We start from the raw sequence: 15,469 nt of genomic DNA, 5'->3' as shown, positions 1-15,469 counted from the left end.
TCTCCTGCCTCAGCCTCCAAGTAGCTGGAACTGCAGGCACCTGCCACCACGCCCAGCTAATTTTTGTATTTTCAGTAGAGATGGGGTTTCACCATGTTGGCCAGGCTGGTCTCGAACTCCTGGCCTCAAGTGATCCACTTGCCTCAGGCTCCCAAAGTGTTAGGATTACAGGAATGAGCCACTTCGCCCGGCCGGGGATACACCTTTCAGTGCAGGAAGTTTAGCAACCTTGGCCTGGGCCCATTCGATATCTATGACTGTCCCCCACCTGTCCTACACATCCCCAGTCACTGATTATCCCAAACTTGCCCTTAACTATTTCCCTAGAGGACAGTAAAACTCCCATTAAGAACACCTGGAAGAAAATAGAATGAAGGGGTGTAAAACCCATACTACAGACTCACATAAACTGTTCCTGGCATTCTACATTTTTTTCCCGCCAACGAGGTTTACTTCAGTCTTTCTATTATTAGAAAGCAATATATGTTCAATCCAGAAGCATTATACAAATTATCACCATGTAAGCTTTTTGTAACAACTGTTTTTATCTTGATCACAAATATATATATAATTATATACATATTCTTTGTGAAAATGAAGCAAGTTTAAAAAATTATAAAGAGAATAAAAATCAATTACAGTCCTGCTAGAGATAACTACTGAATACATATACAAGCAGAATTTTTCTGGGAACACACACACACATACCTTTCAACAAAAATAGCACCCTTTATTTTACCTAGTATTTACTGGTAATATTTATTTAACCCCACTAATGGTACCTAAGATTTAAAATGCTGTTATGCCTAGTTAGAAACTGTAAAGCGATCTGGAAGACACAGAGATTAAGATGGCTTCTGAAATGTATTTACGAAATGCTTCTAAATTCAAGGCAAACAAGGTGCATCTGAAAAACATGACTCAGGAAGAGGCCACAGAGATATAACTTGTTGAGTATAAATCACAATCAAGTTTATGAATAAAGCAGACTTCACTAAAATGTAAAGGAAAAGTAGTTGGCATTTAAGAAGCCTGGCTATGAGTGGGAAATTACTTATGTGTACATATAGGGTCTTCTTGATATACCATCATCAGAAATAAAATGGGGTCCTTTTGGGTCTACGTTATCATATCATAAGGTTTTAGGACTGAGAGGGACCTTGGAGGTAACTTTTCAAATCAACTTGCCAAAGGTTATGCATAAGATGATGAGATTCAGCCTACTGGGCTTTTAATTAAAACTCAATGATATTCCTACCAGTCTCAGGGAGATCAAAGGAACTAAATGCAGTGAACTTCCTTTCCAGGATAAGGATGTTTTATAGAGCTTACAAAAGTTACAGTGGTTTTTGTCCTGCTTTATGAACATGTGGAACTCTATTAATCTTTTCAAATCTGAGTCACCCTTCAGAACTTACCTCAGGTTCAACCCTCTTCATAAAGTCCTTTGACAATTCCCATCATCACTGAGCTTCCCCCCGCCCCCACCTCACCACTCCCTGAAATCTTGAAAGAACAGTTGGCAATAAGACACTTTTGTGTTTTACTCTACACTGTCTGGTGTTATTAGTTACTGTGTCTTGTATTATATTAAAGAAATCTAAGGAAAGAAGATCTTCCACTTATACATCTTATTGCTAGGTCCTCTATAGACTCACAACAGGACTGAGTATACAATTGATAAAAAATTATTCATGGGTGAATTAAGGCATTAATAATGAAAGAATAGGAAATTGGAAAATGGTCAATAACCAAATCTTAGAAAGCAGACAGGGCTCAAACTAACCTGAGAATCTGTTCCAGTTTCTCACTTGGTGCATTCCTGAGGCCTGTCAGCATGGTGTGAAGACGACTCAAGCTATGCGTAGCTGTAGAAACTGGAGTCACACAAGGGCTATTCTCCTTAATGTACCTAACACCAGTTAGTGGTGTGGAGATTCTAAGTGCTTTGGACTAAAGAAAAAAAAAATTACACAGAATTAATAAACATTTTTTAAAGAACATTATTTTAGGCCAGAAAGACTTTAATTCACTTCACAAATGGGACTTCAAGCCAGTAAGACTTTATCTTTACAATATCAATAAATTTTAGTGACTCAAATGTCACCATTCTTGGAATTTAAACATAACAGCATTAAGAGCCGCCAATATCCATGTGAAGACGAAGGTGTGAAAGAATAATTTGTATTTTAGCTAACTAAAAGTTTGTCTCTTAAAAGTTAAAACTCTAAAATAAGGTACAGCTCCCTACATTCCCTCTTGTAAAACTTATGCTCGGAGGCAAAGATAAGCATTCTGCTCACCTGAAAAATTAAGATTATTCTCAGCTCTGAGAAACAGAATTTCACAATTCCCATCTACTGCTATTTTTGCAGACACTCAAAGATAAAAGAAAATTGTGATTAAATTTGGTTCCAAAAAAAATCCATGATTTAACAAAAGCCTACTGATATGGTTTGGCTATGTCTGCATCGAAGCCTCAACTTGAATTGTATTTCCCAGAATTCCCATGTGCTGTGTGAGGCACCCAGTGGGAGGTAATTGAATTATGGAGGCCAGTCTTTCCCGTTCTATTCTTGTGATAGTGAATACGTCTCGCGAGATCTGACGGCCTTATCAGGGGTTTCCACTTTTGCTTCTTCCTCATTTTTCTCTTGCCACCGCCACCTAAGAAGTGCCTTTCGCCTCACACCATGATTCTGAGGACTCCCCAGTCATGTGGAACTGTAAGTCCAATTAAACCTCTTTTTGTTCCCAGTTTTGGGCATGTCTTTATCAGCAGCGTTAAAATGAATTAATACACCCACCATCCAAATATTCAAATTTGCTTCAGAGACAGATAATAAGTTGAACATTCCCTAAAAAGGCAACTTGATGCAGAACAGCCTTCATTGGTCTTCCTGCCCCTCCTCTACCTTTGGTTACCAGAATCTATCACAGGTTCTCCCCCTAAGGTAGACAGGTCTTCAGAGAAATAAGTTAAAGTCAACATTCTTGACAATAAATATGGAGAAGATGTGACTTGGTGTCAAAGGAGCCAGTAAAACATCTTTCTGATTTTTCAAATAAACTCTGAAAGGTTAAGATAGCTTAACAATGTCTTTTAATATTCAAGATAAAATTTCCCTGTGTATTAAATGTACTTATTCTAATTTTTTAAAAAACCTAGCAAAACTTTCACCTGGCAACAGAGCCAACTATTCAAGTTTCATAAGATATAGAAAAGCACAGAAATTTACTGTATACAGAAACAAACCTACATGTTTTCTCTATGTCTTAAAGTGTAATACAACTAAGACTTTCACTTTGTTTCAAAGAAATTCATTCTATAATTAAGTCAATAAAATGATTTGGGTAGATTATTGCATTCAAAAGGCTGCTCCCTGCCTTACAAGGTTTCTTGCAGCCAACTACTTCACTGTGCATGAACCGATGCCTACATTGGGAGGCACTGGGAGGGAAAAACACCTTGTACACAAACAGGAGAATCAACAGCAGCCAGCAGCATATAACCACATCACCCACAGGCAGCAGTAGTTTCACAGAGGAAACTAGGTGTGACAACCACAAACAGCTTCCTGCCAGAGTCCTCAAGGTCAACATGGTGCTTCTTGGTAGCACTGTGCTTAGCTTAAAGCTTCCTGTTCATTCTGATCAAGAGGAATCTTTAACTTGGGTGCAAATATTAAGTCGGTATCTTAAAAATATTAGGATGTTCCATCTCCAAATGAAGACTTACAAAATTTGGAGTGACCCTGAGCTTTGTCCTTAGTCCTCTTGTATTCTCTCTCAATTCATACCTCTAAGTAATCCCTCCTCATTTTATAGCTTTAAAAGCCATCTACGGCTGGGCATGGTGGCTCACGCCTATAATCCCAGCACTTCAGGAAGCCGAGGCGGGAAGATCATGAGGTCAGGAGTTCAAGACCAGACTAGCCAAGATGGTGAAATGCCGTTTCTACTAAAAATACAAAAAATTAGCTGGGCATGGTGGCAGGCACCTGTAATCCCAGCTACTCAGGAGGCTGAGGCAGGAGAATCGCTTGAACCCAGGTGGCAGAGGTCACAGTGAGCCGAGATTGCACCACTGCACTCCAGCCTGGGTGACAGAGCGAGACTCCATCTCAAAAAAAAAAAAAAAAAAAGCTATCTGTACCCACCCTGATGACCCCAGGACATATATACACAACCCCTAACCTCTACTGTGAACTGTGAACTCCGGTCTTGTATACCTCAACTGTCTATTCAACTTCTCTACTAGGATGCTTAAAAGACATCTCTAATTTAACATGCTAATAACCCTAACTCTTGATTCCCCTTCCCCCAGACTTGCTCTTCCCTCTTAATAAATTTCAGTAGTAAATGTTCCCCGAATGTCTACTATGTGCCAAGCGCTGCATACAACACTGGTCACAGCCTTGGTGAAGCTTATATTCTAATGCAAGGAGACAGGTAATAAACAATTCTTTCTACCTACCTCCCTACTTACTGTCAGACAGTGATAAATACGAAGAGAAACACTAGCAAGCAGAGTCAGGGGGAAAAGAAGTCCTGAGGGTTGGGGAGGATGTTGTGGTTATTATTGACATAGCAGTTGGGTTATCAGAGACCAGAATGAAGTGAGAAGGAAGCCACATGAGTCTCTTGAAGCAATACAGTTTAGGCAGAGGGAATTGCAAAGGCAAAGGCTTTGTGTTGCAGGCATGCCTGGCATATCTGAAGAACAAAAAAGGAGGTTAATGTGGCATAAGTGGGTGAGGAGGGAGGAAAGTAGATGAATTCAGAGAGAGCCAGGGCCAGATAACTTACAACATTACAGGCACTTGTCAGGATTTTAGCTTTTATATCATTCACCCAACTGGAGACATCACTGTTCTCTTTTTCTCATACCCTAGATACAAACCCTCGGTAAATCCTGTGGGTGCCATCTCCAAAATATGGCCCAGCTACAAACCATTCTCTGAAGCAAGCCACCATAAACTATTGCCAGAATCATTCCAATAGCTTCTTAACTCCCTACTTCCACCCTTGCCTCTAATCCCACTTTCCCAGAAGACCTTTAAAAATGTAAATCAGTCACTCCTCTTAATAACCCTCTTAATGGCTTTCACCTCAATCAGAGCAGAAGCAAAAGTCCTTACGATGGCTTCCAAAGCCTACACGGTCTGTCTGGCTCTCTTGTTCCCTCTTCCCTGCATTTCTTTTTCTTCTTCTTTTCTTTTTTTTTAAAGACAGGCTCTTGCTCTGTCACCCAGGCTGGAGGGCAGTGACGCGATCACGGCTCACTGCAGCCTGGAACTCCTGGGCTCAACGAATCCTCCTAACTCAGCCTCGCAAGTAGCTGGGCCCACAGGTGGACACAACCATGGCCAGCTTATTTTTTGTATTAATATTTTATGTAGAGACGGGGTCTCACTTTGTTGCCCAGACTAGTCTTGAACTCCTGGGCTCAGGCAGTCTTCTGCCTCAGTCTCCCAATGTGCTAGGATTACAAGTATGAGCCATCACACCTGGCCTCCCGTCACTTCTTACCACTTTTTCCCTCACTCTATTCCTACCACACTAGCATTCTCACTGTTCCTCCAAAAAGCTAATCCTGTTCCAACCTCACGGCTTTGCATTTGTTATGCTCTCAGCTTCAAATACATTTACCCAGCTATTCATATGGCTTGCTTCCTCACTTACTTCTGGTGTGTGACACCGTTCCCAACCACCTTACCTACCACAGCCCACCCATCCCATTCTCCCCTCCCCTCAATATTTTGTATTACTACTCTATTTTCTTCATCTATCATCACCCAACATACTATATATTTACTTGTTTATCTCCTGTCCATCTCCCCACACTGGAATATAAGCTTCTTTAGAACAGGGTTCTCGTGGTTATTTTGTTCACTGCTTTATCTCCAGTGTCCAGGACACAACCTGACATATAAAATGCTTTAGGAATATCTGTTGAATGAATAAGCAGACCAGTCTCAAGTCTGAAGCAGCTCACTTCCAGGTGAACTGGCCCTTGGATTACCCAGTGTTTCCCTGGTGGCACTTGCCAGAAGTTTGGTGTTTTCTGTTCCACCACATAGCAGAAGGGAAACTCTTGGCCTGCATCACTCTAAGTGTCTGTTTGAAATAATACCACGTGGTCCTGAAATTCAGTTTAAAAGAATTTTCTTAAAGACTGTAGATCCTCATTTTCTCCAGTCTCTTAAATGAAGGCCCCAGTCAGGTCAATTATCACTTTCTAAATGCCTACACTATGTTCACTACATATAAGACCATATATTACTGGCCCATCTTTTTAAAACCAACAATTATCAGCATGACACATTTGTTTAAATTTATATTAATTTCTTTTTCTCAGACCTCACTAAAATGAATGAAAGTTGATATTAACAAAGCAAATATCATAGAGATACCTTTTTCAATTAAGAGAAGTATGATGAGAATTTTCTCCTTCATACTGTAGGCAAGTAAAACACAAACATGAAATTACCAAAATAAAAAAGAACCCCTGGCTTACCTGCTCCTGTATTTCTACTCTTCTGGCATGGCTAAACTCACCTTGTCAAAATGCTGCTGTAAGATGTTTTTCATCTGCACCCTTTCAGCAGTCTCTGTTCCTGAACCAGCGTTCAGACACCTTGAGAGAGTCCCAATTTCCTCCTCAGCATCCTCTCCAAGAAATATCCGCTCATCTAAATTCCCAACAGATAAAACATACTCCTCATAGGCCTTATTGATGGCTTTACTATAGGAAAAACAAATACAGACAAAATGTACTCTCTCACAGAACTGCCATTTCAATTAATTATTTCATTTTTTTATTTACTAAAAGTTCTAATAGTTTTTTGAAAGTTAAACTTTGGTAGGGTAACTTGTAGTTATAAGAACTGGATAGTATAGCTGGGTGCAGTAGCTCCCGTCTGTAATCCCAGCACTTTGGGAGGCTGAGGCAGGTGGATCACGAAGTCAGGAGTTTGAGACCAGCCTGGCCAATATGGTGAAACCCTGTCTCTACTAAAAATACAAAAATTAGCTGGGCATGGTGGCACGTGCCTGTATTCACAGCTACTCAGGAGGCTGAGGCAGAAGAATCGCTTGAACCTGGGAGGCAGAGGTTGCAGTGAGCCGAGATCATGCCACTGCATTCCAGCCTGGGCGACACAGCGAGACTCCATCTCAAAAAACAAAACAAAACAAAAACTGGATAGTATCACATGTAATCCTGCTATCCCCAAGCTCATCCATCACACAGTACAAGTATTTTGCTGACAGTGTTTCAGCTGCTGGTAGGTGCAACTTCCGGTGAGAAGCTTAACTATCTGTCTAGCTGCTCTAGGCACCCCTGAAGACTTCCACACTTACACATCATCAATTTTCACCCATATAGTTCCAAAAGAATTTATTTCAAAATTTATAATCCAGAAGCTTAAAGAAACTTCAAAAACAGCCATACAATTTTGAACACATTTAAAAAGTGTGCTTATATTTAGGTGACAGAATTTTTGCTTCCCTGTATTCTCTCACAAAACATATTCTCAGTTTCCAGAGTACAAACAATAAAAACACTAACTTCTGAAGTTTCCTAAGTATACAATTTAAAATATTAAAACATTTTATACAGAAGTACTCACAAACTCTCTCCAAAGTTCCCAGGTTCTAGAAACCCAGTGAGATTTTCTTCTTTTCCCTTAAGGAGCTATGATGAAAGAAGAGATCCTTAAGTCGTCATGTTAAATCAAGTTTTTCTCCAGAAAACATTTTCACGTTATTTCTTTGCTACTTACAAACCTTTTTTTCATAAAGTTTCCTAATATAGGGTTTCCAGAAATGTTCCTTTATCCCCTTTGCTTCCAAAACTAGGCCATCATGTAAGGAACACAGTTTCTCAATGATACAAGGGGGGTCAGAGGAAGGTTTAGAATCTTTAGCATGAAAATCTTCAGATAAGCCTATGGTGTATAGAATCACAAAACAGAGATATCAGCACACAATAAGCCAATTTGTAATAAACTAAAATGTAAAACATAGAGTATAATCAGTATACCACTTAGCATACAAATGTATAGGAAACAGTATATATGGGCCTATTTCAACGCTAAGAATTTGTCAAAAAATGGCAAATAGAAGTAAAGTGTATCATTACTCGAAAGATTTCAGTTATTCAATTATTTATGTAGAGATGGTTAAGGGAAACTTAAAACTTAAATTTTAGGATATCAAATTTTAGGATACTAAGATCTAAAAACCACAAAATACAACTTTGCAAGTAAGTCTACTTTTAAACAAAAAACACCACTTTAAAAAAATTACACTGTTCAGATATTATATACTTTAATTTGAATGTATTAGATGTATTTCATACTAGTTTACAATTTATTCTTGCCCTAGACTCAGCACAAAAGAAAAAAAATCAAATAAAAATAAAAGAGGTAAAGGTTGGGCATAGTGGCTCCATTCCTATAATCCACTTTGGGAGGCCAAGGTGGGTACATCGCTTGAGTCCAGGAGTTTGAGACCAGCCCAGGAAACATGGCGAAACCTCATCTATACTGAAAAATACAAAAAAATTAGCTGGGTGTGGTGGTGTATGTCTGTAGTCCCAGCTACCTGGGAGGCTGAGATGAGAGGATCATCTGAGCCCAGGAGATTGAGGCTGCAGTGAATTGTGATTGCACCACTGCATCCCAGCCTGGGTGACAGAGTGAGACCCTGTCTCAAAAAAAAAAATTCTTTTTAATTTAAAACAAAAAAAAGATAAAAGTGAAAGGAAGCAGCTTTTTGGGAATATACAAGGGAGTTATGATAGAAATGAGAGAAAGAACAGAAAAGAATATGAGGAACATTAAATTTACCATACCAGGAGCAACTGAACTCCACTAATTTTAAAAATCTACCTTGATAGACAAGCTGAAATTTTAACTGAAATTACCTCAAAACTGAGAATCACCCAGAATCCTATTACAATATTACTCAAATAGCAGCAGCAATATTTATTTTAACTCTATACATACTTTTTAATATTTGCTTTGTAAATCATAATTTGGGCTTGTAACTGTTTATCATTCATAGAAATTATATACCTAAGTTCTATTAAATGCAATGCCAAAATCATCATTTCCATATATCTGTTAGTTTAAAAGATGAAAGTTCATTTTCTTTATTTTAGAACCATAACTATTCTTCTGTACCAAAATTTGAAGTAAGATTCTTTCAACAAATTCTTTTTGATCTCCTACAATGTGTCAGGCACAAAGTTTGCCAATGTAGAAAAACATCATCGGCTTTAATGTCATCTTCGCAACTCTGAGTTTCTAAATGCCTTCTCCTTGTTGAGTATATATTTCAGAAACTTCTGAAGTTGTCATTTAAGACTTTAAACTTTGTGGTATCTGCAACTGTTTATCCAAAAATATTTTTACAGGCAGCTTGACTCTTAGTTATAAGTACCCTGGATAGCCGTAATGACAGGAGCTCTTCAAAATACTGATGCTAGGAAACCTGTACAACTCCAAGGGTAAACATAACACAGAAACGCAGATTGCCCAAAAATCTTTGATTTACAAACCTACCTTTAAAATTAGGGTTCACAAGTTCTTTACGATTAGAACACTGAAGTGCATTTCCATAAACTAAGTCCAAAGCACACAGCAGCAGGTGATAAGAATTGACCAAATCATCACTAATCATGGGGAAATTACCTGCAGGATTATAAGCAGTTACAGAGTTAAATTAGCATTGACTTTGTAACATTTTTAAAAAATTTCTTCCTTTACTTATTATGACATTACAAAACAATTGTACAAAATTGACTCATTACAATAAGTGTTTTGGCAAATTTACATTTTGACATATTACTCTTATATCTTAATAAATTTCTTTATTTATTTATTTTTAAGAGACAGAGTCTTGGTGGGTCACCCAGGCTGGAGTACAGTGGTATGATCATGGCTCACTGCACCCTCAACCTCTTGGGCTCAAGGGATCTTCCTGTCTCAGCCTCCTGGGCAGCTGAAATTACAGGTACACGCCACCACACATGGCTAATTTAAAAACTTTTTTTAGAGATGGAGTCTTGCTATGTTGCCCAGGCTGGTCTTGAACTCCTGGACTCAAGTGATCCTTCTGCCTTGGCCTCCCAAAGTGCTAGGATTACAGGTGTAAACCACCATGCCTGGCCTTTAATAAATTAATAAATGTCTAACAGCTTAGTGAAAACTATAACTTTACTAAAAATGCCATTCATTCATTAAGTGTTTATTAAATACCTAGTAGCTGAATAAAACTTTATCATTGGTCTTTTCTTTGAAAATTCTGAACACAAAACATTTATAAATTATCTCAAACTGTAAGAAATTGTTTTGCATGAAAACATTTTTCTGTCATGAAAATTATTAGAAATACTTAGGAGACAGCCGAAAAAATAATTCACTTAATTATTCTCATATACATTTTTTTTTTTTGAGATGGAGTCTCACTGTCGCCCAGGCTGGAGTGCAGTGGCACGATCTCAGCTCACTGCAAGCTCTGCCTCCTGAGTTCATGCTATTTCTCATACACATATTTTTAAAAGACCAGAACTTTTTATCAGACTCCAACAGTAACATTTTTAATACTTTTCTACATAAACTCAGACAAATTAATGCAACAGGAGTACCATTAAATATCTTTCAATTCCAGGGCTAATAATCCCAAGAATAATTGCTGATGCTTGGTAACAGGGAAATAAGAAATCAAAAACCTAAACTGACAGAAACATGTAATTTCTGCAGTGCTGGTTGAACTCTAACACTGAACACATTTTTACGTGTAGTTAAACCATTTTATTATTATCTTAATTTTCTAGAAATTAAGAATTATTTCTAGTTATTTTATAACTTCAAGCCCATCCTTTTTTAGTTAAACACTGCACATGTATGCTTCATGGTGATTTTACATTCTTGTATCATCAGATAAATTCAATTTAAATAGCTAACATACATATGAAGAATTATTTCCAAACCTCAGCATTTCACACTTAACGCCTACCCAAGTGTACATGTACACACACACACACACCTGCAGCTTTGTTTCAGGTTTCCCTTTCTCTCTGTTCCTCCAAAGAAAGTTACCACTTACCTCAGCGTATACAAAGCAATTCTTTTTTTGTATAGATGGAAACATTCAACAAATCAACTTAAATGAACTAAAGAGAAAAAAAAATTCTTCTCTGCCAAAGAGGCAAACGATAATCAACACATTAAACTGTGCATTGATACAGCCAAACCAACTTGCTTGGTTCTTCTATAAAGAGGTTTAATATTAAAATATACTTGGTTCCTCATGTGTAAAAAAGGAAGTAAGTAGCACCTACTGATTTCAAGCTACAAAGCCCATCACACCAACAAGCCTAAACTTGTTACTGGTGTGCACTTGCCATAGAAGGCAAAAAAAAAAAAAAAAAAAGGCAGTACTGTAACATCTAATAAAAAGCTGAAATGCCCCTAAAGATCAGAATCTAATTTAAATTAAATTCTAGGACTCTCTCAACATGACGTATTTTCTATTTCAAATCCTGACCTTACAAATAAATCTGACTTTGTGAGGTATTTTATCTTTTAATCAACAAAGATAACAAGTAAATAGAAATGTTTCATCTCCAGAGTTGGCTTATTTGTCATTAGAAAGGTGGCTATAAAAGAGTACACCTTTCCCCCAAATAAATGAGAACTGAATTAAAGCAATTAAATGACTATTAGAAAAGATCATCGTGTATTATAAAAGATCACAGTGGTGGACTGTGAGAGGACCAAGTTTCTTTTTTTTTTTTTTTTTTTTCGAGACACGGTCTCAAAGTCGCCCAGACTGGAGGTGCAATCTCAGCTCACTGCAGCCTCCGCTTCCCAGGTTCAAGCGATTCTCCCACCTCAACCTCCCAAGTAGCTAGGATTCCAGGCATATGCCAACATGCCCAATCCACAAAGGTTCTTAAGGTGGAATTATTATAAACTGAATTAATGAGATAAAAGTCAAACACTGAGTTAATTACAGAGAAAAAACCACCCCAACAGGTCCAGTGAGAACAAAATAAGGACAATGAAATTATTTTTTATTGTATTGTACATATTATATATAGTACCAACTATATTTACTTCTAAGTACACATATGCCATAAAAGACAAACAAAACAGATAAAAATCCTAGAAATGAGACATACTTGCCCAATACAATCATATGAAAAGATTACCATCATACATAATAGCAGTCACACATTCTAAAATTTGTAGCCGCTGTAAAAATGGTTTATATACTCCAAAACCTTTATTTCATGCCACTGATCATGTCGCCTTTATCATCACTAAAGAAACATGCCAGTGTCATGTATGACAAAAGAAAGATTTTTCTCTTGAATCAAGCATGCAGCTCAGGGAAGGAAGGATGGCGGCTCTCACCCTAATTAGCCAGAGAGGGACCAGGACAAATCAAACCTGGAGACCAACAATGTAACACATTCTTCCCAGAGGCCTTCACAGCCAGTATGAAACTAAGAACCAGGAACCAGGAGATCTGAGTTCAATCTTAGCTTTGTTCCCAGCAGCTAGTTTCTGGGCTCAGCTGCCTAATCTTTAAAGTAACTAAGCTGACTGAGCATGGTGGCTCACACCTGTAATCCCAACACTTTGGGAGGCCGAGGTGGCAGATCACTTGAGGTCAGGAGTTCGAGACCACCCTGGCCAACATGGCAAAACCCCAACACTACTAAAAATACAAAAATTAGCCAGGTATAATGGTGCATGCCTGCAATCCCAGCTACTCAAGAGGCTGAGCCACAAGAATCACTTGAACACAAGAGGCGGAGGTTGCAGTGAGCAGAGATCATACCACTGCACTCCAGCCTGGGCAACAGAGCAAGATCCTGTCTCAAAAATAAAAATAAAAATAAAAAATAAAGTAAATGAGTTAAGCTAGGCCGGGTGCGATGGCTCACGCCTGTAAGCCCAGCACTTTGGGAGGCTGACGCAGGTGGATCACGAGGTCAGGAGTTCAAGGCCAGCCTGGCCAAGATGGTGAAACTCCGTCTCTACTAAAAACTACAAAAAATTAGCCGGGCACAGTGGCAGGCACCTGTAATCCCAGCTACTCGGGAGGCTGAGGCAGGAGATTGCTTGAACCCGGGCAGCAGAGGTTGCAGTGGGCCGAGATCGCACCACTGCACTCCAGCCTGGGCAACAGAGTGAGACTCCATCTCAAAAAAAAAATAAAATAAAGTAAGTTAAGCTAGTTAATCTAATAATGAGAGTCTCTCTTATACTTATGAAACTCCTTCCAGCTCTAAGATTCTTTGTTAACTTTGCATTTTATTGAGCCATCTTAGTGGCAAAGGCATTCCACATAGTATACAGAAGAAAGCTATATAATAATATAACTGCACTTTCCTATCTACTTTAAAGAATTGTTTCTACATAGAAATATAAAAAGGAACTGGGCGCAGTGGCTCGTGCCTATAATCCCAGCACTGTGGGAGGCCAGGGCAGGCAGATCACCTGAGGTCAGGAGTTTGAGACCAGCCTGGCCAACATGGTGAAACCCCATCTCTACTGAAAACACAAAAATTAGCTGGGCATGGTGGTGGGCGCCTGTAATCACGGCTATTCGGGAGGCTGAGGCAGGAGAATTACTTGAACCTGGGAGGTGTAGGCTGCAGTGAGCCGAGATTGTGCCACTACAATCTACCCTGGGAGACAGAATGAGATTCCATCTCAAATAAATAAATAAATAAATAAATACAAAAAGGACAAAAAATAATAGAGACATGTATTTCACTGAATGCAGACCTTGGGTAGGTTAAATGAGACAAGAAAAAAGGGAAAGAAAATAAATAGTATATAAAAGCATTTGACTAAGTATACTTATCTGAACAAGATACAAAAAAAAATCTGAACAGCTCTGAGGTTGATCAGTAATTGCGCTCAACTAAATAAGATACATCTCATGAAAAATAGAGTTCACAATACAAGCATATACAGAATAATGTGTTTTCAGCTCATAATTTAAAAGAGTAGCTTTGGGTAGAAAAGATGTTGTATACAACAAAGTTAATGGACTTTCCATTTAATAAGAGAAGATTTGGATATTGTAAAGAAATCCAATAGATCCTTTGATGAAAAGGCAATACTTAAAAAAGAATCTAGGATTAAAACCCTTGAGAAAATTTTCAGTGAAAATCTTTTCCTGATACATATTAGAAGTTGACAAAATTAATACCTGAAAATGTAAATAGACATATTAAATCTAAATAAATATTACTATTTTCTTACCTTTTGCATATATAAAAAGCACCCAACAAAAATGGAAAATTTCAGACACAGTACAGGGCTGTCGCCTTTGGGGGAAGAAAAAAAAAAGTCATGAGACAACAGAAGAATCAGAAAAAAAAATCCCAAATGATTATAAATCAGGTGTAAAATAAAACCCACAGTTAAAGGGAGAGACAACAGATTCAGCTTCACATGGAAAACGTGGACGTTCTGCCTTAACAAAATATTGGTAGGAAATAGCTGGGATCCAGGGAAAGAGCCCATCTCAAAGAAAAGAAAATTCTTAAAGAATTTTTTAAAGTTTTTTGAGGGCAAGATAGGTGAGGTGGAAAATAAAATGAATAAAAATAGTTCTTTTGATGACACAGCAATGCTATGCTGCTTTAGGACCACTATATGCAGTCAGATATGTCCTTATTTTTTTCTCCTTTATCATAGCTAATGACCTGTATCCCTCCCTCCCTCCTTAAAGATATTCCAGACTATATCAAATCACAAAAGGCCTTTTTAATGTAAATTATGAGCTTCCTATAATTCCTTATACTTCCATCCATTAAGAGTACCTGTTGTATATTGCCAAGTAGTCTGCCAAGTTTCAGACCTGCTTTAAGCTTGGCTTTTCTACCAAAACCTCTGACAACTTTTAGACAAGAAATCTGTGGTCTCCACCTCCCAACAGCCTTATTCTAACAAGGTGCCCAGAAGAACGAAATTCCGTGGAGAAGATTAGATTAGATTTAGTTCCAGCACTGCCATTAGCTAGGGTACTTGCTCACCTGGGCCTTAGTCATTTCATCTGTCAAAAGATTACTCTACTTGGGTACAATACTGTACTTAGTTCACCAGTCCATGGCAAGGATTAAATGTCAGTGTTCTGCTTTTAAAAGTAGCCTCTCTACCATAGGCGCATGATAAACTATTTCTAGTTTTAGTTGCCTACCAAAATAAAATTCAATTTTTTTTAGCTTAACACTTAAGCTACTCTTAATTCTGGCTCTACAACTTGAGAATTCTAGAAAAAAAAACTTGACTAACCTCCCACATTTCTTCTTGCTTTACTGCTTTTGTCTTTTCTTGTTTCCTCTACACAGAAGGTGCTATCTGTATCTTCAAATTCACCTATCAAACTCGTACCCATCTTTCAAGACCCATTTCTACTTATTCCATGTAAA

The 15,469-nt window shown here is 38.1% G+C and overlaps 1 protein-coding gene across 7 annotated transcripts in view; it reads right to left on the bottom strand.

The window, feature by feature from the left end:
- Nucleotides 1–15,469, bottom strand: part of RBL2 (RB transcriptional corepressor like 2) — a 57,178-nt gene that overhangs the window by 30,245 nt on the left and 11,464 nt on the right. For 6 of the 7 annotated variants that reach the window (NM_005611.4, NM_001323608.2, NM_001323609.2 and 3 more), the window contains 6 exons: nt 14,298–14,362; nt 9,573–9,701; nt 7,792–7,952; nt 7,635–7,699; nt 6,562–6,748; nt 1,787–1,953 (listed from right to left, as the gene is read on the bottom strand). In NM_005611.4, the coding sequence (NP_005602.3) occupies nt 1,787–1,953; nt 6,562–6,748; nt 7,635–7,699; nt 7,792–7,952; nt 9,573–9,701; nt 14,298–14,362 (774 nt within the window). The remainder of the gene's footprint in view (nt 1–1,786; nt 1,954–6,561; nt 6,749–7,634; nt 7,700–7,791; nt 7,953–9,572; nt 9,702–14,297; nt 14,363–15,469) is intronic. The other variant, XM_047434414.1, reaches the window with a different exon arrangement.

The sequence above is a fragment of the Homo sapiens genome, chromosome 16 (assembly GCF_000001405.40).
Source record: "Homo sapiens chromosome 16, GRCh38.p14 Primary Assembly".
NCBI lineage: Eukaryota > Metazoa > Chordata > Mammalia > Primates > Hominidae > Homo > Homo sapiens.
This window is presented reverse-complemented; position numbering and strand designations above follow the sequence as displayed.